Source organism: Homo sapiens, chromosome 2, assembly GCF_000001405.40.
Source record: "Homo sapiens chromosome 2, GRCh38.p14 Primary Assembly".
NCBI lineage: Eukaryota > Metazoa > Chordata > Mammalia > Primates > Hominidae > Homo > Homo sapiens.
Window position 1 is genome coordinate 154,489,975 of NC_000002.12, and position 26,314 is coordinate 154,516,288.

Genomic DNA, 26,314 nt, shown 5'->3' on the forward strand with positions numbered 1-26,314 from the left:
CTAGGTAGATGTTTGCTCCAACTTCTTGACATACCTTCCTATCTGGGACATGAACTTCCACAGTCTCCAGGGAATCATTCCTTCAGATTTGGCCTATATTCCTACCTATAGACACCCAATTCTATTGAACACATAAGCCAGACATACTGTCCTACACTGACTAAAAAAGGGAGGCTTATGCATGCTAGTATCTTGTCAGTTGTTTTCCTTTACCCCTCCTCCTTTCTGCTACAAAGAAAGAGTGAATGGGATGTAAATACAGAAAATTGGCGCTCAAACAATTGAGTTCTTTAAAATTAATTTTACTGTCTTACCTTAGACAACAGTGCCTGTAGCAAGAATTTTCAGGGGTACCCTAAAAATAGACTAATTTTACCTGTCACTCCCTTTTCTCCTGCTGTTATTTCTCTTCCTTGTTAAAATTGGGACTATCTTAGTGCTCAGTGTTTAACATTGTTCCATGAATCTTTCTGGCTGTCCATGTAGCTGCATATTATTTTTTAGCCTTTAGAAGTGAAACATTCTCTTTCTTCAGTCCTTAGCAAGCTAGGTGTGAATCTGATGTTAATAATTCACAGTAAGCAATAAAGAAGGGTAGATAGTGTCAGGAGACATTTCCATTTGAAACATTTGCTAGCGCAAGTATATTTCAGATAGAAGAATAAGTGAAAATGGTGTTATTGAGAAAAGTCATTTGCTCATTTCTTCTAGGAAGTGACACAGAATCAAAACTTGAATCACACAATCTCCTTGCAAACTAGGATCTCATCATTTCACCTGATTGTGCAACACTGAGGTCATTCAGTAAAGGGAATAAGATGGGTGTTAGTTATGAGGGGTGGGATCCAGTAAAATGTTGTATTTTGAAACCTAGCATCATATTTTTTTTAATATAAAAGCACCAGTGTGAGCAAAGGAAAGTAAATTTGAGCAAAATTTAAAGAAACAAACATCTGGTTATCTTTATCAATTCTTAATTACTAATAACTTTTTATTTTAAGCCTAATTTTCTTTTTTGGGGGGTTTAGTGTTTTTCATACACAGTAAAAAAATGTATATTGTTAAATATTAAATTGCCTTTATACCATCTCTTAAGATTTTCTGTCAATGGAATTGTTTTTACTCAGATTCCCCTGAGGAGTACATCATTTTTATCCTCTAATTGCCGGAGATCCATGATGGAGACCTCGATTTCCATCAGACGGCAAACCTCCTCTCTCATTTTTAGGCTTGGCCATGAAAAAGATGGTTTGGACAGGACCGTGGTAAGTCCATCACTACATTCATACCCCTGTTTTTTTTTTTTTTTTTTTTTAAATCAGCCAGGAAAGCTTTTCTATGGCAACTGAATTTATCCAGTCCTTATATGCATCTATCACAGGTTATAACATGTCCAAATTTGGAGTCAAGAATTATAGCAAAGAGACAGGTAAGAAGAAAAAATCCCCAGGGAGGCTTTCTTTTGTGGGAGGCAGGCCGCCACAGTGCTGAGTATTAGAAACCTTTCAGCCAAGCAGGTGAACTAGAATTGGCAGAGTCCAGCAATAGCTCTTAGTCTAATTAAGAGATTTCTTCAGTGACATTTAAAAAGTGTAAATTCAGTTAATAGGTAATAGGCAACAAACAGTAATAAGAACATTCAGGAATTCAGTCAGGCGGTTAGTTTAAAGAAGAGAAGTGAATAAGCCATAGGAGCTAAGATATTTATTATTTTATTTCATGATTGACAAAATTGTGTATATCATGTACATGTTTTTATTTGAAACATGCATATATTTTGACATGGCTAAATAGAGCTCATTTACATATACATTATCTCACACACTTAACATTTTCTGTGGTGAGAACACTTAAAATTGACTCTCCCCAATTTCCATGAATATATTGTTGTTAACTCTAGTCACAATGTCGCATGATAGACTCCTTGAACTTATTTCTTCAATCTAACTGAAATCTTGTATCCTTTGATCAACATTTCCCTTTCACCACCCCTAGCCTCTTTTACCATTATTCTACTCTCTACTTCAAGTTCAACATTTTTAGATTCCTCATGTGAGATCATGCAACATTTGTCTTTTTGTGCCCGTCTTATTTCTCTCAACATAATGTCCTCCAGGTTCATCTATGTTGTCAAAAATGACAGGATTTTCTTCTTTTTAAAGGCTGAATAGTATTCCATTGTGTATAGATCACATTTTCTTTATCTACTCATCCAGCAACTGACACTTATGTTGTTTCCATATCTTGGCTCTTATGAAGCAATGAGCACAGGAGTGCAAATATCTCTTTAACATAATAAATTCTTTCTTTCTTTCTTTCTTTGGGGTATATACCCAATAGTGGAATTGCTGTATCATGTGGTTGTCCTATTTTTAATATTTTGAGGCGTTTCCATACTGTTATCCATAATGGTTGTTCTAATTTACATTCCCACCAGCAGTGCACAAGGGTTTTCTTTTCTCTATCTATTCTCCAACACTTGTTATTTTTTGTCTTTTTGATGACAGCCATTCTAAGAAGTTTGAAGTGATATGTCATAGTGGCTTTAATTTCCATTTATCTGATGATTAGTTGATGAACATTTCATATACCTGTTGGCCATTTGTGTGTCTTTTCTTGAGTAACATCTATGTGGATTCTTTGCCCATTTGTAAATTGAGTTTTTTGTTTTCTTACTACTGAGTTCAATGAAAGAACTCAGATAGATATACTTTAAAATTTTAATGAAAATTGAACATATAAAAGTATATTTATATACTTTTATATTTTATATTATACACTACATATCCTAAAATATGTCACATGGTCACATAGAAAATATACTGAACTTAGATTTAAATGAGGGGAATTTTATCTTGTTTCCTCCAATTACCATCTACCTGGATAATGGAAAGCATTTCTTTTTCCAGTGTACTTATCTATGAAAGGGGTTTATGTGGCCTGTCTTCCTCATAGGGTTAGTATGAAGCTCAAATGAGAGGATGCAAAAAACATGCATTTAAAATTAAGTACTAAGAAGAGGAGTAAATAAAAAAGTCCAGAACCAGTAATAAGGTGGGTGGCAGGTGTAGTGGAGTAGAGGAAGAAGTCCACAGAAGAAATTCAATTCTATATTCAGATGTAGAGAGAGGTAAGTTAGAGCAGGGCGTCCCCCCATGGTACCAGTCTGGACCATGGCCTGTTAGGAGCCAGGCCACACAGCAGGAGGTGAGCAGCAGGTGAGCGAGCATTACTGCCTGAACTCCACCTTCTGTCAGATCAGCAGTGGCATTAGAATCTCACTGGAGTGCGAATCCTATTGTGAACTGCGAATGTGAGGGATCTAGGTTGTGGCTCCTTATGAGAATCTAACTAATGTCTGATGTTCTGAGGTGGAACAGTTTAATCCTGAAACCATCTCCCCCTACCCATGAACGTGGAAAAATTGTCTTCCATGAAACCATTCCTTGGTGCCAAAAAGGTAGGGGACTGCTGGGTTAGAGAGATGTGATGAAAAAGATAAGCCTACAGGAACATTCTTTTGTTGCCTTGGGAGATGAAACCCAGATTATAATCACCTCTTCTCATTGTCCTGAAAATGTGAACCAATTAATCCTGGATTTCAGTACTTCATCTACTCTGTACTCTTAAAACATAATTAATGTCTCTAGATTAGTTAGAGCAATCCACATGAAGTGAAACTATTTTCTGGATGGTTGTATTAACACATAGACCACTGTAACACTGTAGACCTATAATAAATAAAATGAAGTTTCTTGAAGTCAGGTTGTTTAATCTTTATCTGTGCACATATTTTCCCTCAGAGGATGAAAGAAACAAGCAACTACTGGGTGCCCACCCACCTTAGGTCAGGAAGTGTGCCTATCTCAGTGAGTCCTCATGCCCAATTCATAAGGAAGGTCTGTTAACATAGGGGAAGATGAAGGTCTGTTGAGGTTAAGTAGACTGACAGTAGGTCCTCTAGAGACATTTGGAAATTGTTTTTTTTTTTTTTTTTTTTTTTTTGAGACGGAGTCTCACTCTGTCGCCCAGGCTGGAGTGCAGTGGCACGATCTCAGCTCACTGCAAGCTCCACCTCCTGGGTTCATGCCATTCTCCTGCCTCAGCCTCCTGAGTAGCTGGGACTACAGGCACCCGCCACCAAGCCCGGCTAATTTTTTTTTTTTTTTTTTTTTTTAGTAGAGATGGGTTTTCACCATGTTAGCCAGGATGGTCTCGATCTCCTGACCTCGTGATCCACCCGCCTCGGCCTCCCAAAGTGCTGGGATTACAGGTGTGAGCCGCTGCGCCCAGCCAACATTTGGAAATTCTTAATTCTGATTATGTTTTAAAAAAATTGCACTAGACAAGATGAGCAAACATTGACTTTATTCCGAAACTATTGCCTGAAATAGGGCAGAGATATAGATCAAGTCTCCATACCCAACTCTGCTGAGGCAAAGGGCAGGAGGGTTTTTAAGTGCTGAGTGCTGAACTCTGAGCTAGGGAAAAAGTACTGGAGGACCTCAGGGAAGATGTTGATCAATGGGATATATTGAATGCATTGAGTTATAACTGAGTTTGCAAATGTTTTCTCTGTGATTAGGATCTCTGTGTTTGCTAATTGGTGACTATTCCATGAAGATATGCTGCTACTCTCCCAAAATGACTGAGAAATAGGGATGCTATCACCTTCTATGTTCAGATTTCAGAGATGGTTCCCAGATTCTTGAGGATGACATTTTCTGAATTATAAAACTAGCAAAATATTTACATACATTTCAAAGGGACAGAGAAAAATTTACATTTGTTAAGTATTCTAAAGTAAATGTTCTAAGAAAAGAGAGTTTGGCAGCCTATTGTCAGGAAGAAACCTGTGTAATGTAGGCAAGCTTAGGCTTTTTGGGTCAATTACATTCAAAAATTGCCTAGGAAATGTAAAATGAACAAACCTACCAAAAAACAAAACAAACAAACACATAAATTCCAGGTCCTACTGTGGACCGATTAAATCTGAAAATTAGAATCTCTAGTGACCTGGGCATCAATATTTTGAAAAGCTACTCAGGTGACTGGAATATGGACTGAGCATCATATGTCTATATGCCTGTCCCATAACATTATACTCCAACACCTCTCCCCTAACTGAGCCATAATGGTCTTTAGCCCCATGATCGGCTTATTGGCTAGGATTATTTTAGATGTATTTTTAGATGTAGTGACGGTTTGTAGGGGCAAAGGGGAAGTTTTATCTCTGAAGGCCTCTGAAAATCAACTGACGAAAGGCAGATTAATACAGATTAATAAGAGAAATGGCATAAAAATTTATTAATGCGCATAGGGAGAAATCACAGAGTGATTGCCCCATCACAAAAAGGGGTACAGATGATTAATGCACCTTTCTTCTTAGGCTAAAGGGAGATGGGGAAGTATGGATGATTTTAGGGAAGGTAGTAAGTGATTTTTAGGGGAATCCAATGGGCTTGAAGAACATTCAATGGTTTATGATGAAGTCTATTGGGCCCACAGAGCAGGCAATGGTTCGTGACAAGCCTGTGTGTTTACAGACTTCAGTCTTTCATTCAGGGATATGAGTTCAGTTAATGAAAACTCAGAGAAGGTACCTGGGTTAATTATTTTCTTCTGTGGCAGGCCCAGACTTTAATTACATAAGGGAACTTCAGAGAACAACTTCATTCTGTGCTTTAGGAGATAAATGAGGGACAGGAGAAGAAACGATCAGACGGACTTTGAGGCTTCTTCAGTTCAGTGAGTCAAAGCACCATATTTTGGAGTATTGGTTTCTGAGCTCAACGGTGTAGTCATTTCAGTTTGGGTGATTGCATAATCTAAGTACTTAGTTACATGAATGTGAATGTGTTCTCACAGACACTGTTGGTTGTCATCTGCCTCCCTTCTATAAACTCCTTTGATTTATAGATTCTCAGTTTTGTTTGAGCAGTAACACTCTCAGGGAAAGCATGAACCTCCACAGCTTCAGATAATATATAATGATTGGCCAAAGACAGGTAAAGTGAATGTTTCCCCATTTGCTAAATGCCCATTTATAAGTAAACGTGGCCCAGTACTGACAAATAAGATGTAAGAGAAGTATTCTGGGGACCTACTGGGCAGAATATTTTCCCCGGATATAAAGAAATAGTGAGAAATCTTGCCTCTTTCTTCTACTTTGGATGGGTTGTATAGCACGTAATGCTTGAGGCAGGCATCTTGCAACCAAGAGGTAACAAGCTATAATAAATGATTAAAAGTCAAGTTCTCCAATAGAGTGGAGAGTTAGAGCCTGGATTCTTAATGATATCATGATGTTCTGTACAACAATTAGAACCACTTACTTCCAGATTATATTTTGTGTGTGTGAGATTTCTTTCTCTCATTTAAGCCAGTGTTAATTATTATTGTGCTTGCAACTGAAAGCATTCTACTTGATAATGTGTCATAACATGATGAGCAAAAGCTGAGATTTATAAAGAGGTTGCAGAAGTCATCAATAATGGAAAAGACAGTGCTTGTTCTACGTTTCTGCACATAGCCAGAATTCATCTCTCCTTCTACATCTTAATAATAGAAATACCAGAGTTTCCCTTGTTTTAAAATTGTTAATGTGTGTTTCTGTTCCCTACTGGACTGTGGCTCTCTGGAAAATGAAGACTATGTGCTATTTATCTTGGAGTCTCCTCCAGTTCCAATTTAATGCTTTGCGCATGCTATTTGCCCAGTAAGTGTTGAATCAAGTGAACTAAAGTTTGAGTTTGACAGCTTAGTGATTTATGAGGAGCTGAATGATATGTGAGTTGAATAAAGTTCTCATGGAGATAAAAATATTGGTAGGATTGAACATGTCTTCTGTAAAATGAGTGACATGGAATCTCCTTAAATTGGTCTTTGCACTATCACCATTAAACATCAGCACTTGAATTATCAGGTGTGGGTTGAATAATCTAGAATTAGTTAGAATTAATCTAAAATAATCCCTTTAACTTTTCATTTTCTCAGTAGTAAACTTCTGGTATGCCTGAATAGTTCATTAAAATCACTGTTTTTTTTTTTTTATTACCATTCTTTTTGGAAAGCTGTCCACTATCCTTAAGGATCATGTGAAACTAAGACTGCACCTCAATCCCTTTCACCTCAGCAATAGAATCATCATGTCATTTTGGCTCATTTTTCCCTGCAAGGACAGTCATGTGCATTGATAGTGAAGTTAAAAATAACTCTCTCTGTCTGGAATTCAGGATTGGTAGAAACCTCATCAGCCTACAAGGCCACAGTCTTTCAGAACTGTCAACTGCCACTCAAGGGAGTTAACATAGCTGCAAGGCATTTTAATACCAATATTTTCCTCACAGTCTAAAATGATTCAGGATTGTGCATGAGGGAAAGAAATCCACTAAGGGTATGAACTCAAATGGTCTTCTTTGTTAAAGTCATGTGAATTTTTATTTAACATTATTATCTAATTGCACATAGAGCTCTAAGTTATCCTAGGAAGCTCTACAGTCATGTAGCCTTTTGACTCTAGGGAGATCAGTGCCTATACCATCCTCTACAAATTATTGGCTATTCAGTTTTTAAAGGTTGCCAGACAGGGAATTTTGCTAATATTAAACAGAACCTGACTCTACGTTAATTAGCATTAAAGAAGTTATTTCATCTAATCAGTTGAGCTCTGTGATACTGAAATAAATAATATGTCAATATGACTGTTAAGGGCAAAGAAGTAGCCATTTTTGGTAAGTCTAAAAATAAAGTTTTAAATTTCATTACGAAAAACTTAGCAGATTCTTAGACCTCATTCTCTCTGATAATGTTAGTCTCACCCCAAGTCCTTCTCAAGACAGGTCACTCCAACCATGATCCTACTACCACCCATCATTCCTACCCTTACCTACCCTTAGCAGCCATATCAACATGAACCACAGGAGATTTCATTGCCTGATTTTATACACAACTGTTTGTATGAGGGGTTAAGTGTGTTTCTTTCCTCTCTATGAAATGAAGTGTATAGTTCTTGTGTCTCAGAAAATGTGTTTATGTGGTCTCTCAGCCAGAGACAGACAAATCTAACTAAATAATGTCCCAGCTCTGTACACGAAAATCTACAGAAATTTGCTGGGATAAATTTTATAAGACCCAAATAAATGGTCTTTGCATTGAGTCCAGTGACTCAATATTCTTAAGGTATCAGTTCTCCTCAAGTGGATCTGCAGATTCAAAGCAATCTCAATTAAAATTCAAACAGACTTTTTTTTTGGTAGAAATTGACAAGTGGATTCTAAAATTTTTATAAATTTTAGAGCATTTCTTTAAAAAGAATGATAAAGTTGGAGGATTGACCCTATCTGATTTCAAGACTTATTCTAAAATGACAGAAATCATGAGTATGGTGTCAAGGCTGACAAGTAGATTAATAAAACAGAATAGAGAATCTAGAAATAAATCCATATATATTTGGACAATTGATATTTGACGTTTCAAAGGCAGTTACTTGGAGAAAGAATATTTTTTTTAACAAATGGTGCAGCAACAATTGTAGCTCTATATGCAAAAAGAGGATAAAAAGCAAGAAAGAATCTTGATTCACAGCCCACATCATTTACTAAAATTTAATTTAAAAAGTGAAGTCTAAAACTTAAATTTCTAGGAATAAGCAAAGGAGAAAGATTTGTGATCTGGGCTAGGCAAGATTTCTTAGCTGTGGCACTGAAAGTATAATTTACGAAAGAAAAAATGATGAATTGTACTTCATCCAAACTAAAATCTTCTGCTCTCAGAAAAACACTATTAAGAGAATCAAGAAACAAGAAACAGATTAGAAGAAAATATTTGCAAATTATAAAACATGAATTACATCCAGAATAAAAGAAGATTGTTCCAACTCACAAATATGAAAATAAAAGGGATAATAAAAATAAGCCAAAAACTTACACATACTTTTAACTAAAGAAGATATTTGGATTGGAAAATCCAATTTCATTTGTTTTTAGACAAATTCATTTTAAAAGTCACTCTGTGTTATTCTGAAAAGCTTATTGGGATAATTGAAATAAAAAAGACTAGCCATATCAAATATTAGCAAGGATATCGAGAAAATGGAGCTCTCGTAAGCTGCTGATAGGAATATAAGATGGTACAACCACTTTGGAAAACAGGTCGGCAGTTTCTTAAAAATAAATAAATAAATATACAACTACTATATTATCCAGCCATTCCACTCCTAGATATTTATCTAAGAGGGTATTCACACACAGACTTTTCCAAAAATATTTATAGAAGCTTTATTTGTAATAGCCTCAAACAACCCAAATGACCTTCAACAGAAGAACAGATAAGAAAATTGTAGTATAGCCATATAAGGAACTAATAGTTTCTTATATGGCTATGCTACAATAGTACTAACCCACAAAAACAAACACACTATTGATACAGACAACATTGTGAATGAATTGGCCCCAAATCATGCCATGTGTTAAAAGCCAAGAAAAGAAAGAGAATGTACTATATGATTCTATTTTTACAAAATGCTAGAATATGCGAATTAATCAACAGTAACAAAAAGTAGATTAGTGCTTGTCTGGGAAGAAGGTTAGACGGTATAGGAGGATGGGATTGGTCAGGAGAAAATGAATGGGTTTGATGGATGTTAATTATCTTTATTGTGGTGACGGTTTCTTAGATAAATATTTCAAAACATATCAAATTGTACATTTAAGTTTGTGTGGTTTATTCTGTGTAAATTAGACATTGGTAAAGCATTTTTTTTTAAAAAAGAATCAGTAGGAGATTTTCACTAGTTGTATGTGGGCAGTAAGATTATCTGCCTAAGTTTCTACTTAGGAGTAGAATAGTTGAGTTAGCAGAGGTATATTTAGCCTAAAACTTAAATGACCACCACCACAACAAGGGTAGAGAAACAGGGTAGTTGGTAGTTATGAATGAATGAATGAGTGAATCTCTAATCTACTTATCCCTGGCAAGTTCCATTTGAGAGCAAAGAGCCGAGGAAAGAATGCTAATGAGAAGTCTTGCCTTGCTGGTGCTAGTTATCCAGCACTGGGTAAGAAAGTTCATATTTTTTTAGCCTTAGTTTCCTCACCTCAAAGAGGAGAGCCATGCTGTCTGCTCTGGTATAGGCAAGTTTTTGGTGATGATCAAATTTGATAATTATAGAAAATTATTCCATAAGCTATGAAATGCCATATAAACATGAGCAGTTAAAAATGTATAACCAATTTATCAAATGAAAAGGACACAGTCTGGACCCAACAGAAAATGAATTTGTTATTTTTTCCCCATTACTCTCCTTAAAAACTTGGTCAAATCCTTTTCCTATTTTCTGGATCTCTCAGATGCCTTAGGTTTTCCAGACTTTCTCAGGAATTAACAAATAATCTCATTTTTCCAGGTGTTAAAACATTAACCACATCCGTATAAAAACTCCACTCTCTCATTTGATTGGAAGCTTGGTCCTCCTCCAGTCCCTCCCCCAACACCTAGGCTTGTTGAGATCAGAACCCTGCATGGGAAAGGCCATAAAATTTTGCCTCACTGTTTCTCTCTGTCTTCTTTGCTACTAGGGAGTTCTCTGTTTCTTACCACCACAGTTGGAAGTGGAAGGTTAGCCAATTTTGATTGGACTGGTGTTCTTTAAATTTGTGTTTGGAGTTCTCTATTTGTGAGTGCTCAAATACTACCTTTCTCATATGGTGATTTTGTAGCTTCTTAGAGGATGTACTCCCATTTTTACCCTTTACCTCCAATAGCAGCCTTTCCTGTCTTCAGTGACACATTCATCCACCTGGCTGTTCATAACTTCTTCCTCAGCTCCTGGCTTCCATGCAGGAAGGCTTTTTCTGTTGGGTTGACCTAACCATGCAGTCAGGTCTTGTATGTTAGCATGAGCTAGGTAATTCAGTTCTAGCTCACTTCTGCAGGTGGCACAGCTGGCTTTTGGAAAACAGTCACCTCTGCCCTCCCAGGTAGAAGGCTGACATGTTTCTATTGAAGATATATTGCTTCTCTTCATTACAGTGGCAACTCCCACCAGAATTTAACCTTTAAAAATTGTATACATATGAGTCAGGTATCAGTTGTTGTGGCCACCCAACTTCAAGAACACATACCAAGTTCTCTAAGGGGTTCTCTCTTGAACACCACCCAGCTTAATTGAGGAAGACAATAATAATTGCCTTCTCTGAGCAGAAAGGCAGGAAGAAAGAAATAACCCTTTGACAATCTTCACAAAGGAATTTCCCCAGACATTTTCACTCCTGATGACTCTGAGCCTGCTTTTATGCAGCCGGAGGGTGGAAAGAGGGCTAGTTGTAACTATTGCTTTAGAAAGTGAGGGTTCATATGTTTGTTGGCTGTTTGGTTGTCTTCTTTTGAGAAGTGTCTGTACGCATCCATTGCTCACATTTTAATAGGGTCTTGTGTTTTTTTCTTGTTGACTTTTTTAAGTTCCTTATCGATTCTGGATAGGTAGTTCTTTTTTGTCAACTTTGTCAAAGATCAGTTGGTTGTAGTGTGCAGCTTTATTTTTGGCTTCTGTATTCTGTTCCTTTCGTCTATGTGTCTGTTTTTGTACCAGAACCATGCTGTTTTGGCTACTGAAGCCTTGTACCATAGTTTGAATTCAGGTAATGCAATGCCTCCCACATTGTTCTTTTCACTTGGGGTTGTTTTGGCAATTCAGGCTCTTTTTTTGGTTCCGGAGAAATGCAAATCAAAACCACAATGAGATACCAACTCACACCAGTCATAATAGCTATAATTAAAAAGTCAAAAAATAACAGATGTTGGCGAGGTTGTGGAGAAAAGGGAATACTTATATACTGTCAGTAGTGATGCAAATTTATTCAGCTTCTGTGGAAAGCAGTTTAGAGATTCTGTAGAAAGCAATTTGAAGAATTAAAAGTAGAGCTACCATTTGACCCATTACTGTATATCTACCAAAAAGACACCTGCACTCATATCTTTATCGCAGCACTGTTCACAACAGCAAAGACATGGAATCAACCTAGGCGCCCACAAATGGTGGGATGGATAAAGAAAATGTGATACATATACACCATGGAATAGTATGCAATCATAAAGAAGAGTAAAGTCATGTCCTTTGTAGCAACATGAATGCAACTAGAGGTCATTATCCTAAGTGAATTAATGCAGAAACAGCAAACCAAATACAGCATATTCTCACTTATAAGTGGGAGCTAAACCTTGGGTACACATGGACGTCAAGCTGGGAACAATAGACACAGGGAACTCTAAAAGGGGGAAGAGAGGTAAGCAAGGATTGAAAAACTACCTGCTGAGTACTACGCACACATTTTGGGTGATGGGTTCAATACAAGCCCAAATCTCACCATTATGCAATATACCCATGTAACAAACTTGCACATGTACCCCTGAATCTAAAATTAAAAAAAAAATCACAAAGAATGTAAGGGTTTTTTGGCATATCTGTTTTAAATTTACCTTAGCCGGAAAACACAAATAGTACCTCCTTTTTAAAAGACTAACATTTCATTAAAGAATGAAGCAGAAAAATGCAGTAAATGATCTGTTGTAAATTTGTATTAATGTAGTTTTTATGTGTTGGTAGCAAAGCCAAAAAATAATCTCTTTGCATTCTCTAATAATTTGTAAGACAGAGTATTATATAAAGACTATTGAGTATGCAATTTTTTGACTTGAAAATATAAAGTGAAAGGAAAGTAATGATTATGGGAAAAGATGGAGAATTAATCCATTGTTTTAGTTTTCGGACTAATTCTGGGTAGTGGAGCCTTTTTCATAAAACTTAAAATTATAAAGATAGTTTTATTTACCCTCATCATTACTATTTTAAAAGCATGCACTAGCCAGGTACCTGTAATCCCAGCACTTTGGGAGGCCGACGTGGGAGGATCCTGGTCTTGAGCCCAGGAGTCAGAGATCAGCCTGGGTGACACAATGGGACTCCATCTCTACAAAAATTTTTTTTAAAAATTAGACAATCATGGTGGTGCATGCCTGTAGTCCTACCTACTAAGGAGGCTGAGGTGGGAGGATTACTTGAGCCCAGGAGCTTGAGGCTGTAGTGAGCTGCAATTGTACCACTGCACTGCACCCTGGGTGACAGAGTGGGATTTGTCTCAAAAATAACAACAAATCTCAATAAATAAAAGCAGGAGCTAATGGGATTGATGTCAACATCAACAACAATAATTATTATTTTAAAATATTAATCTTATTGCTTTTATGTGCTATGATCAGAAAGTTTCCATATAAATTTAATACGTCAGAGGGATAGACCTATGATTGAAAGAAATGATTTACATCTGATATGGTTTGGCTGTGTCCCCACCCAAATCTCAACTTGATTTGTATCTCCCAGAATTCCCCTGTGTTGTGGGAGGAACCCAGAGGGAAGTAATTGAATCATGGGGGCAGGGCTTTCCCGAGCTATTCTCATGATAGAGAATAAGTCTCACAAGATCTGATGGGTTTATCAGGGGTTTCCTCTTTTGCTTCTTCCTCATCTTCTCTTGCTGCTGCCATGTAAGAAGTGCCTTTCATCTCCCACCATGATTCTGAGACCTCCCCAGCCATGTGAAACTGTAAGTCCAATTAAACCTATTTTTCTTCCCAGTATTGGGTATGTCTTTATCAGCAGAATAAAAAGGGACTAATACAGTAAATTTGTAGCAGTAGAGAAGGGCATTGCTGAAAAGATACTCCAAAATGTGGAAGTGACTTTGGAACTGGGTAACAGGCAGAAGTTGGAACAGTTTGGAGGGCTCAGAAGACAGGAAAATGTGGGAAAGTTTAGTACCTCCTAGAGATTTGTTGAATGGCTTTGACAAAAATGCTGATAGTGATATGAACAATAAGGTCCAGGCTGAGGTGGTCTCAGATGGAAATGAGGAATTTGTTGGGAACTGGAGCAAAGGTGATCTTTTTATGTTTAGCAGAGACTGGTGACATTTTGCCCCGTCCTAGACATTGGTGGAACATTCAACTTGAGACAGATGATTTAGGGTATCTGGCAGAAGAAACTTCTAAGCAGCAAAGCATTCAAGAGGTGACTTGGGTGCTGTCAAAAGCATTCCATCTTAATTTAAAAAAAGAGCATAAAAGTTCAGGAAATTTACAGCCTGATGATGCAGTAAAAAGGAAAAACCCACTTTTTCGGGAGAAACTCAAGCTGGCTGCAGAAATTTGCATAAGTAACAAGGCAAGAATGTTAATCACCAAGACAATGAGGAAAATGTCTCCAGGGCATGTGATAGGTCTTCATGGCAGCCTCTCCCATCACAGACCTAGAATTCTAGGAGGAAAAATGGTTTCATGGGCTGGGCCCAGGGTTCCTATGCTGTATGCGACCTAGGAACTTGGTGCTCTGAGTCCCAGCCACTCCAGCAGTTGCTAAATGGGGCCAAGGTACAGTTCGGCCCATGGTTTCAGAGGGTGCAAGCCCCAGACCTTGGCAGCTTCCATGTGGTGTTGAGCCTGTGGGTGCATAGAAGTCAAGAATTGAGGTTTGGGAACTTCCACCTAGATTTCAGAAGATGTATGTAAACGTCTAGATGCCCAGTCGAAAGTTTGCTGCAGGGACAGGGTCCTCATGGAGAACCTCTGCTAGGGGCAGTGCGGTAAGGAAAGTGGGGTTGGAGCCCCCACACAGAGTCCCTACTAGGGCACTGCCTAGTGGAGTTGTGAGAGGAAGACCACCATCTTCCAGACTCCAGAGTGGTAGATCCACCGACAGCTTGCAGTGTGTGCCTGGAAAAGCCACAGACACTCAATGCCAGCCTGTGAAAGCAGCCAGGAGGGAGGCTGTACCCTGCAAAGCCACACCAGTGGAGCTGTCCAAGACCATGGGAACCCCCCTTTTGCATCAGCATCACCTGGATGTGAGACATAGAGTCAAAGGAGATCATTTTGGAGCTTTAAAATTTGACTGCCCCGCTGGATTTCAGACTTGCCTGGGGCCTGTAACCCCTTTGTTTTGGCAAATTTCTTCCATTTGGAATGGCTGTATTTACCTAATACCTGTACCCCCATTGTATTTAGGAGGTAACTAGCTTGCTTTTGATTTTACAGTCTCATAGGTGGAAGGGACTTGCCTAGTTTCAGATGAGACTTTGGACTGTAGACTTTTGGGTTAATGCTGAAATGAGTTAAGACTTTAGGGGACTGTTGGGAAGGCATAATTGATTTTGAAATGTGAGAACATGAGATTTGGAGGGGGCCAGGGGCGGAATGATATGGTTTGGCTGTGTCCCCACCCAAGTCTCATCTTGAATTGTATCTCCCAGAAATCCCACATGCTGTGTGAGGGACCCAGGGGCAGGTAATTGAATCATGGGGGCGGGTCTTTCCTGTGCTATTCTTGTGATAGTGAATAAATCTCATGAGATCTGACGGGTTTATCAGGGGTTTCCACTTTTGCTTCTTCTTCATCTTCTCTTGCTGCCACCACGTAAGAAGTGCCTTTCACCTCCCACCATAATTCTGAGGCCTCCCCAGCCATGCAGAACTGTAAGTCCAAGTAAACCTCTTTTTCTTCCCTGTCTTGGGTATGACTTTATCAGCAGCCTGAAAACAGACTAATACAACATCCAATATCTCAAAACCATTGGTGTATATACATAACATTTAATAAAGTCAATAAACAAAGCAGAGAATGGTTGTGTTTAACATTATTTGTAAATACTTTAAAACATAATGAGTTATCCTGCCTTGATTATACATCATAGAAACAGTATTTAACATCACTTTATATATAATAAATGGATAAGTTTTGACTGCTGTTCTTCAAATCTGCTAATGTGAAAACTGTGACTTAATTGTTTACTTTCATCACTAGTCAAGGAAGAAATGTTTACAGTTTACTTACTAAGAAACTGTCATTCTGTATTCTTAGGAGGCCACCTCTTGTCAGACAACTAATGCTAGGAGGATAAAACACATGCTGGAAAAATGACACCTAAACAGCATACTTATGTTATACTTTCCACAAATTAAATTATGTGGTACTAACATCTAATAGCTCTTACTTCACTACAGGCAGTGTTTTAACGTTTTTTTGTCTTAATGTTTTAATGTCTTCTATAAACAAAGACAAGGACGGAATTATAAAACATGTTACATATCATGGTAATTATTTTATATCTGGATCTAGACTTGGATCAAATACGGGGCACTCTTGGTCCCCACATCCTACAAATGTGGGGTTGTATAGTATTTGGCTTGACTTGGTCAATGAACAGTTAGGTAAAAACACTTAATTTCAAATGCCCTAAAAAAATAAAAAATTGCAGGTTTATTTTTAATTGGTTAAATTATTCATATACCAATTTCATCTTTGACATTTCCCCATTATACAGAATTGGGATTGTCTGCATTAGCTAGACCAAAACACTCCATCCTGTGGTTTTTGTTTGTTCTACCTGCATCTGTTGCTTCTCCTTTGAGGTCCACTTCCTCATCTCCTCCACATTTTAGATGTTAAAGCCCTTCTGTTCTCTTTGTGGCTCCTCCTCCTTTTAAAACTGGGAAAGCATTTATTTCATCTTTTTAAACTTGTTAATCAATAGTCTGGTCATTTTTTTTTTCATTTCAAGGAGTTTCAGCCAAAGCTTTAGCTCAGCCAATCACTTGTCTTTCAAACTTTTCATTTCTCATCAGAAATGTGAATATCTTCAAGCATATGGCAAGGTATTTTGAGGAGCGAGTAGGTCCCTGAAATTATACTATAGCAAATTTAAAAGAATCTTGTTGAGGATTAGGATGACTACAATGTGTGGATTGGCAAGGAAGTAGGAAGGCAGAAAGACTTGTCTCCCAGATAATCTCCTCAGAAATTTTGGAATTGAGACCAACTGCTTCCACAGAGCTTAATGTGGAATAAAACTACCTCTGTCAGTTTGACTGCAGCATTTATTTGAGGAGAAAGAAATGTTGGATTTCTTTTTTATGCAGAAAAAATTCTTTTGTATTTCTCTTTTATGCAGGAAAATGATGATATAAAATAATAAATGACTTTAGGAAATTCCTGAAAATCAGTTTTTCCAGACAAATAATTTCCTCATCTGAGTAAACAGGTTTAATAAAATTTTGTCCAGCAAAAGTTTAATAAACCTAACTTGAATCACTGTGACGAAACCTAAAACCCTATAAAAATCTTTATTTGCCCTCCCTTTCTGAGACACTATTGAGATTATCAAGATGTTGTTCATGCTTTCTGAAATAACTTTAATAAACTTTGCTTTGCTTGACCAACAGGGTAATCTGGTGGTCGTTTGGGAGTGGGGGAGCATTAAGGTAGCTGACAAGTCTTAAGTACATTTGTAATGGGGATTGCTTCTGCTGTTATTTTTTTCTGAAATTGACTTGTTCTAGCACAGATGGCCCTGTAGGGGCCTCTAGGGCCTCTTCTCTGCGCTAAAAACACTAGGGAAATATTCTGTTTCTAAAGCTATTGCAATTTTATTTTTACAAACCTGCCCTAATTATAAACAAAAACTTCTACTTCTTGGAACACTTTCCCATTTCTGATTTCTATTTCTAGAAACTACATTTCTGATAGAGTTGTCTAAATTTAGGTAATTTAAATAATCATTTCTAGCAAGGGATTTTAGGAATAGATAACAACTGAGGTTTCTTTGAATGCAAATATTTCAAGATTCTCTGAGCTTGTATTTGGATTTGTTCTCTTTATGAATAGGCAAGACACTTGGACAAAAATATCTGTCACTCAACTAATAATCGTGGTTGATTTAGCTGTTTTGCCTGACATAGATTTACTTTTCCTCTTACAAGAGCTACATAGAATCTTCCTGAATCTGAGAGTTTATCTGAAATAATAACATTTTAGTAGTGATTTATCACATTGTAGAGTTCAAAGAGCAGAACAACAAAAGCGTGTACTCCAGATTAGAGATCTGTGAGCACAATGCAATTACTTCTTTACTTTATACTTTCTAAGGCCTAAATGAAATTATAATAAGAAGGCGCTCACTTCAAAATAACTTCCAACAAAAAAAAATTAGAAAGTTATCATTATTAATATGATCTAAAAATTAGTGAGGAACGGACAGGCTTCAATGAATAAACACTTTTGCACCTACATTCAGAATGATCAGAAATTACATGAAGCCATTGGGCTGTAATTTTTTGGTTTATAAATACATATGTGATATTTTTCAGAAATGAAATGAATTGCAGCATATGGTACCTTGGGTTTTTTGTTTGTTTGTTTTTTGTTTTTTTTTTTGAGACGGAGTCTCGCTCTGTCGCCCAGGCTGGAGTGCAGTGGTGCGATCTCAGCTCACTGCAAGCTTCGCCTCCCGGGTTCGTGCCATTCTCCTGCCTCAGGCTCCCGAGTAGCTGGGACTACAGGCACCCACCACCACGCCTGGCTAATTTTTTTGTATTTTTAGTAGAGACGGGCTTTCATTGTGTTAGCTAGGATGGTCTCGATCGTCTGACCTCGTGATCCGCCCGCCTCGGCCTCCCAAAGTACTGGGATTACAGGCATGAGCCACCGTGCCCGGCCGGTACCTTGGGTTTTAAGATAACAGAAAATATTTACAGATTAATATTTTCTGAAATTTAAAGTATTTTTATAAGAGATATACTGTTAACAAATGACTAGGAAAGAGAATGTAACTTATTTTAGAGAAAAGAATACTCAATACACAATCCTATAAATAATATGAACATTTAAATGGAAAACAGGGAAAAAATAGTTAATTATAGACATTGAAATATAAATGGTTAATAATTATATAAAAACATTTAATTTTGCTAGTAGCTATATAAATAAAAATTAAAATATCAATCAGATAAAACTTTTCAGCAGTCATATTGGTAAAAATTTTAAAAGTGCAATTATAAAATTTTAGTGTACACATAAATACCTGGGAATGTTTTTAAAGTGCAGATTATTGTTTGCTGGGTCTAGGAAGGGACCTGAGAGTCTGTATTTCTAACAAGCTTCCAAAAGATGCTGATGTTGGTCTGAGGTCCACACACTGAGAAGAAAAGGCTTAACAGACACTTAACCCACTAACTTAAAAAAAAAAAAATTCTCCCTTAAGCCTGAAAATAGTGTCTAAAATCTCATATGCAATAGACATTCCTTTAGGTTAATTCATTATTCCTAAGAGGGCAACATTAGGTTTTACCATAGCTAGATGACATTTTACAATGGAATCTCATGAACCAATTAGCATTGGACTTCATCAGATTAGCTAGTTTTTAATGAAGCATGACATTGAAAGAATGGGATACAGAAAAGTTATGTTCGCATTGGAAACTGAAAAAAGAGGCAAAGATCTAGAACACAGAGATGGCTAGGTGGAGGGTTAGCAGGGCCTGTGTGGCAAAATGACAATGTCCTTCCTATCTGTACAGGGGATCTCTTAAAAGGACAAGGAGCAGCATTAGGAAAGGGAAGGGTGTTAGAGATGGATTTTCATCCTAGACACCAGCACAGAAGGAACTCTGAAAAATGTGAGTACAGTATAAACAGTGGGAATTAAAAAGGTAAACACTTTCTGGTTGTATCTGTTTTTAAAGACAATGACAACTACTGTATAATGTTGGGGTTTAAAAAAGAAGTGTTTGGAATATAAAATCATTCTTTGGTTTAAAAATACTGAATTTAATAGAATTGATTATTTTCACACTAGAAATAACCCACTTGCCTACCCTAGTGAAAAACTAAGAAATACAAGGAATTAAAAGCATGAATCAAGTTATTATTGCTTTATTCTCAAAAACCTTGTGATTACAAGCAGATTCTAAAAATTAAGTTTAAATCCACTATGTATTGTTCAGTCCAGATTCTTAAAATTAAGTTTTAATCCACAATGTATTGCTGTGCTCAACAAAGCCAGTTTAGTAGATACTGTGATTTTCTATAATGTTCAGCATCAGCCCTCCTCATGGGTAATTCTGCTCAGGGCCTGGCATCCCAGGGAAGATAAAGCAGCAGAGATATGTCCACTTCCTGGTTTTGTCTATATCACACTCCTCAGAACGCCCTTAGAATTCTGACTTTCCTGTCAAGAGAGGACTATACTCACAATAAGGGTCTATTGGCTGGCCCAATGTCTGAATAAGATACACAACATAAAAAGATTCAACAGGGCTGTGGTGTTTGTATTTGTATGACATCTACATAATGCATTTTTAAGAGGGATTGTACAGTAAACACAAAGATGTCAAACAGTCTCATTATCTTTCAAAGGAGGCCTGTCAATACTCCTTTGAAACAGAGCTATGGATTAAAAGCTAGCTGAGGGATAAAGAAAAGTTAAAGTGTAATCATTTTTGATGAATGAAGGGGAGCTATCAAGTGGAGTGCTAAAGAAATCCGTGTGAGACCTCACATTTAACATTTCTCACATTAATCACCCAAAAGAGAAGGTAAACATACATTAATTAAATCAGCAGATGATACTAAAGCTCATCATTAACTCCAATACAGGGCAATATTTTCATAAAAGAAACTCTTTGAGTTGGGAAATGAGAGCATAAAATTCCTAAGTCAGATTTTGTCATTTTAAAACAATGCAAGTTTATCAAGGTATCAGCATCTTGCAACAGAAAAAAAAAAAAAAAAAAAAAAAAACTACAATGTCTTTTCCTTCTCTTCCTCCACCTCCTCCTTTCCTAACTGTTTATTATACAATGTTCACTATGGACAAAATTGAAAATATATATAATTAAAAAGAACAAACATTAATAGCTATCATCAACATTTTGCTTTTTATTTTCCAGACAATTTCCTTTATGTATATAACACATTCACTTATATTTTTTAGTTTCTCTAAATTTAAAATTTTTAATGGCAATGTCTTTCTCTATTAAGAAAGTTTATTTAAGTATTTTGTATCCTGTCTTCAAGATTTATCCATGTTAGCGTGTGTCAGAATGTTCTTCCTTTTGAAGTCTGAATAACATTTCATTGTATGTATATACCATATTTCTTTATCCATTCATCCATTGATGAACACTTGGGTTGCCACCTTTTGACTATTTTGAATAATGCTGCTGTGAACGTGGATGTAGTCCCTGGTTTCAGTACTTTTGGAGATACAGCCAGAAGTGGAATTGTTGCATTACATAATAAATTCTGTTTATAATTTCTTGAGGAACTACTATACTGATTTCAAAAAAAGCTGCACCATTTTACATTCTCACCAGCAGTACACAAGGATTTCAACTACTTTTCTTTGAAAGATTGGCGATTCCATTTTTTTTCCACTAATATGTAGTAGAAAGCTTTCTTCCTAATATCTGATACCCTCTATTAAAATACTACATTTGCTTTAGTAGAACACTTTGCCTTTTTATATAAATAGAAAGGAACTTATAGATGATAAAGAAGTGCAAATGTAACATCTGCCAACTCGCCATTGCTTTGATACTGACCTGGTATACTCCATTTTTCAGTCTGCCAAAAAGATCCCAGATGTTTCTGTCAGCCATGAGGAATACAAACCTTTGTGATTAAGTATTTTAAGTCTTTTAAGAAAAAGAATTCATAGAAAATTTTAGGTATAGAAAATGCACTTTGTTGTGTATTTTACTCACTGCCAAAGAGGCAAAAAAAAAAAAAAAAAGTGAGAGAAATAAATAATACTCCAGAAATTAAAACAATAGCTTAATGAAATCTATTTTGGTTCCATCTATTATTGTATAACACATAAGCATAACTATCTCTCAATTGCTTAAACATTTCTTTCTTTCAAGGCCTCTTCATAATGATCATATACGCTTCTGTGGGTATTGATTGCATGCCATTGAACAAAGGAATACATAGAACACTAATCTGCTTGATACTTTTACCTAGTACACATGTGATTTCAAATTATTTCAATTCTTATGGCAGGTTAGTAGGGCATAACATTAATAGACGGTCAAGCACACAAAACCTCTCATCCATTTCAGTGGTTGTAAGCCATTTCAACAGATATCTGTAGTTGCTGACTGCAGGGTATGAAGGAAAAAAAATAAGAATCAAATGGGAAGATTTAAACAGAACTGTGGTCAATGAACACATCAGTAAAGTGAAAGTATCAATTGTCCCATTACTGCCTGCAATTGAGAAGGCTTCAAAAGATCTTGACTTTTGCTCCTTATCTAAAAATTTATATTTGACTTGATTTACCTGATTTACTAGTTTTTTATTCTAAGCTCTCAAATCAGGGTAAAAGTACAGACTCCTAGTTTTGTCTGCAATAGGATTAACATATGTGGAGCATGTGGGATTTGTTAATAGTGTGCTTTGCTGGGCCAACAGCCTCAATGCCAGCCTAATTGATCCAAGTAGTAGTTGGTTCCTTAATGAAGATTCCACAACGTAATTGTTGTAGAAAAATAATGATTACTTTAGGACAGATGGCAAAGTGGCAAGATGGGGAAATTGTCCATATAATTCTGAGTCTAAATCCTGAGCTTGATGAAGGATAAGTGTTTGAATACTCCAGGAGAGGTATTTATAACAGCTCTGAATCACCCACTTACTGCTCAGCTCTTCATTCTCTTTTCCTTAAATAATGTAAGCTTTGCCTGTAGGGCTGAAAAAATGAATGACAATATTAATCTTTAAACTAATTAAATACTTTGAGTAATGCCAAAACATTGTTATATTTGTGCCTGTGTGTATTCTAAATTCCAAAATGCAAAAATAAAAAAATAAAATTTAAAGTCCAGAAAAATGTATTTTAAAAATTAAACCATAAATGGTTCACTCAACCATCTGGATTATTTTAGATTAAATGTGAATACCCCCTGTTTTGGCTTTTACATTTGTTTCTGCAGCTGTAGGCCTATGTTCAAACATCATCCAGTTCAGCACATACCTCTCCAGAACTATGAGCATACAGACACATTTTTTATTTAATGTAATAAAGGAAATATTTGGTACATTGCATCAAAAACTAATTTTTAAATGATCCATTACTATTTTTAAACCAATAATTTGCTTTTTGGCTATATCATCTACTCTAATAGAATATATGACACTGAGAAAATTTTTCTTGATGTAACTTTAAAACCCAATTAACCAAGCACAAAGGAAATTACGGATTGATTATAGCAGAAATTTTCAAGCTAAACTGAGTAAAATATTGAAATATTATATAAAAATTTATAAATGTAAGTTTATATACACATTATTTTTCTAAAAGTGGTTTTAACATTCATTTAATTGCCATAAGAGTGGTCTGTAATTCAAATCAGATTAGGACTACCAAAATACATACAGTGTTATGGTATACATGCTTTTCAAAGGATTTTGCCTAATTGTTTCTGAGGTTCTTTTTTTTCCATGTATCTGCCTAGAGGGGACATATATAAATCAGAGTACACAATAATTATCTCATTGGTTCAGTACATGTGTTCCAATTGCTGTATCAGCCATTTTTATTAACCACCACTACTGCTTAGCTATTGACAATGTGGGTACTTTACTTCACAACCTCCCTTTGTGTTGATAGATCTGTCTAGTCATGAATGATATATTACAACACATTTCTAGCATTCATTCATTCATTTTGGAACATTTTTTGAGCACCACTAAATACCATACGAAGTGTTCCATGAGCCAAATTAGGTGAAGATAAGATCTAGTATTAGAAAGGTAATAAGAGGTCCTACCTTCAAAAATATGCATACCAGGCTAAGGATTTGGGCATTTATTTGTAGAGGATAAGAAGGTATTGGAGGGTTTTTAGCTGAGAGATGACACATTGAATTTGCATTTTCCATGGATCATTCTGGCAGTAGAATGAAAAATGAATTTGAGTTCAGAAGCAAAAGTGTGAGAGATAGAGACAGAAAACTCACTTCTGCCAAGTGGAGGCTGGAATCTAAGAGAGTGGACTGATTTCAGGAATATTTGAGAGAAAAAATTCACAGGACATAAATCAGTTTAGCTATAATTGAGATAGAGAAGATAGAGGAAGAAATGATATTGGAAGAAAAACTAACATTTCAGTTTAGGGTTTTTGTTTTGCTTTGTGTTTTTTTTTTAATTTTATTTCCAGTTGGAACTGTACAGCAGACATCTGAAGATGCAAATTTTAAATCTGGAGAATAAGTTTAGAATTAAACGAAATTTGAAAATGATCATTTTTATAGTAGGTAAATCATACAAATACGTAAAATTATGAGAATACTTAGAATGAGAAGAGTAATAGGATAATATCTGAGTCCTGAATTTTATGACTTCGTAAATTTTCAAGGGTGGGCATGTGAAGAAGGGGTCCTTGAAAGAGAAAGAAAAGGAATGATCAGAAAAGTTGAGGATCAACAGAAGATAGACTATCATTAAGGCAAGAGAATAAAGAGTTTAAAGGAGGAGGGAAACTTCAATAGCGTCAAGTGATGTAGGTATGAACAGAAAAACACTTTTAAATTTGGTAGTTTATGAATTGCTGCTGATCAATGAAATCATCTTCACAAATCTGCTTGCCTCTTTCAACATACTTAACAAATTATATGAAAAAACCTAATTTTATTGATATTATACTATTTCCATTTTATATGAGGAATCAAACCGTTATACATGTTTACGTAATGTTATTATATATTCTATATTTTTCCAATTATGTTTACTCAGATAGTTCAATTGCTAAAATGAGTATTACGAGCTCATTCAATGAGAGATTTTATATAACAATATATCATAATTTTCCTGATGTTTTCACTTCATCATAGAAGAGCAGTTGGGGGCAGCAAGGGGGAATGATGGGATATTTACATAAGCAAAATCCAGTTATTGGATGAGGGTTGCCTTAGAGAGTGGTGTAATTTAGGACAGGCATAATTTCCCTTGACTGTTTTGGTCAAGGGAAATTCATGGGGAGGGACTAGGCTTCCCGTCAGTGAGCAACACTCCCAGCACCTAGGGGAATGGTGCTCAGTCCTGAAACCAGGGTTCTGGGCAACACCACAGCATTTCCTCGTCATTCTTGTAAAATAAACACACAGAACCTGGCATATAGTATATACTTAGTAAATGTTAACTGATCTTATTACATGTTTGAATAAAATACCTAAAGACTTTATGTGGCTACAAGTCTTTACATTGCCTAGCCCCTACAAAACTCTTCATCCTCAACTCGTACACTTGTTCAAGTCTCCCTCACCCCCTTCTACATTTTGTGTTTCCTAAACTTGTCATCCTCCTAGTCTGCAAATACAAAGTTTCCTTTAGCTAGAATCCACCCCTACCTCCCAAATTCTTAATTAATTTCTCTTAATTCACAACTCAAAACCAAGTGTCACTCTCCAGGGAATTTCTGTTACTCCCAAAACATGGGGTTTCTCCTGCTTGATATGCTTATGGTGTTATGTGACTTTTGCTTCAAAGCACATATGACCATTGAAACTAGACTGATATTTGGTTGACTGTTGATTAATATAATAGCTAAATCCTTCCTAGACAGGAAGCACCATGAGGGCAGGAAATACATTTGTTTCTTGCCTCAATACCTAGCAATAAAATTGTCCTTAGTACCTAGCAAGAAATAATTATTTGAAGAAAGGAGTTAATGAATAAACCCGTGTTGACTAAATGCTCTGAAATGAATAAACATTTTCTATAATATATACAATAAAATTATAATAATACTATTAATAGAATAATCATATCCCAAATTTCAGGATTTTGTTTCCTCTATCTGGTCTCTTTTACAACACTGTATTTAAAAAATAACACTAATGAGTATATATATGTAAACAGGGAACTGATCCTAATTAGTTGTGATCTACTTAACTATAGGAAGGATTCATTTAGTGAAGTAAGGGGTTCCATTAAATAGCAGTAGCATTTTTTCTTTGTTTTCTATAGTGAACTAGGAAAAGTCTGCAGCTACGAGTAGGTAATTCTTGCATACCTAGCTGTAATCTGGACCATCATGACAATAAGAGTGTGTTATTCTCTTGCTAAATCTTTTTATCTTCACAGCTGAAAACATGTTTCTGTCTCTAAGATGAAATATCTCCCTTTGATCCAATTTACTGAAAAATGCTCCAATTAAATTGAGTATATATTTTCAATTGCAATTGAATTCTAGTGTAGTAATTAGTGCACTAAGCTAAAGGTTCTTCCTGATTAAAATTAATGAGCTAGAAATGCTATAGCAGCTTGGCCTGCGAAGGGGGTTCTGGGAGGCTTTGGATGTGGGTACTAACATGAACACCAGCTTTACCCACTTCTAGAGTAGAAATATTTATAAACAACATGAGTTAACTGCTCAGCATGAAAACTTCCTGAAAAGTTTTATCTTCCTGCTATATAACAGTCTTT

The 26,314-nt window shown here is 36.2% G+C and overlaps 1 long non-coding RNA gene across 2 annotated transcripts in view; it reads left to right on the forward strand.

The window, feature by feature from the left end:
• LOC105373693 (uncharacterized) overlaps positions 1-26,314 on the forward strand; it is a 106,969-nt gene that overhangs the window by 3,564 nt on the left and 77,091 nt on the right. The window contains exon 3 of one of the 2 annotated variants that reach the window (XR_923484.3): positions 19,405-19,829. The exons of the other annotated variant lie outside the window; for it this stretch is intronic. This is a non-coding gene — a long non-coding RNA (uncharacterized LOC105373693). Of the gene's footprint in view, positions 1-19,404; positions 19,830-26,314 lie in introns of those variants that run through there. 2 annotated transcript variants of the gene reach the window in all.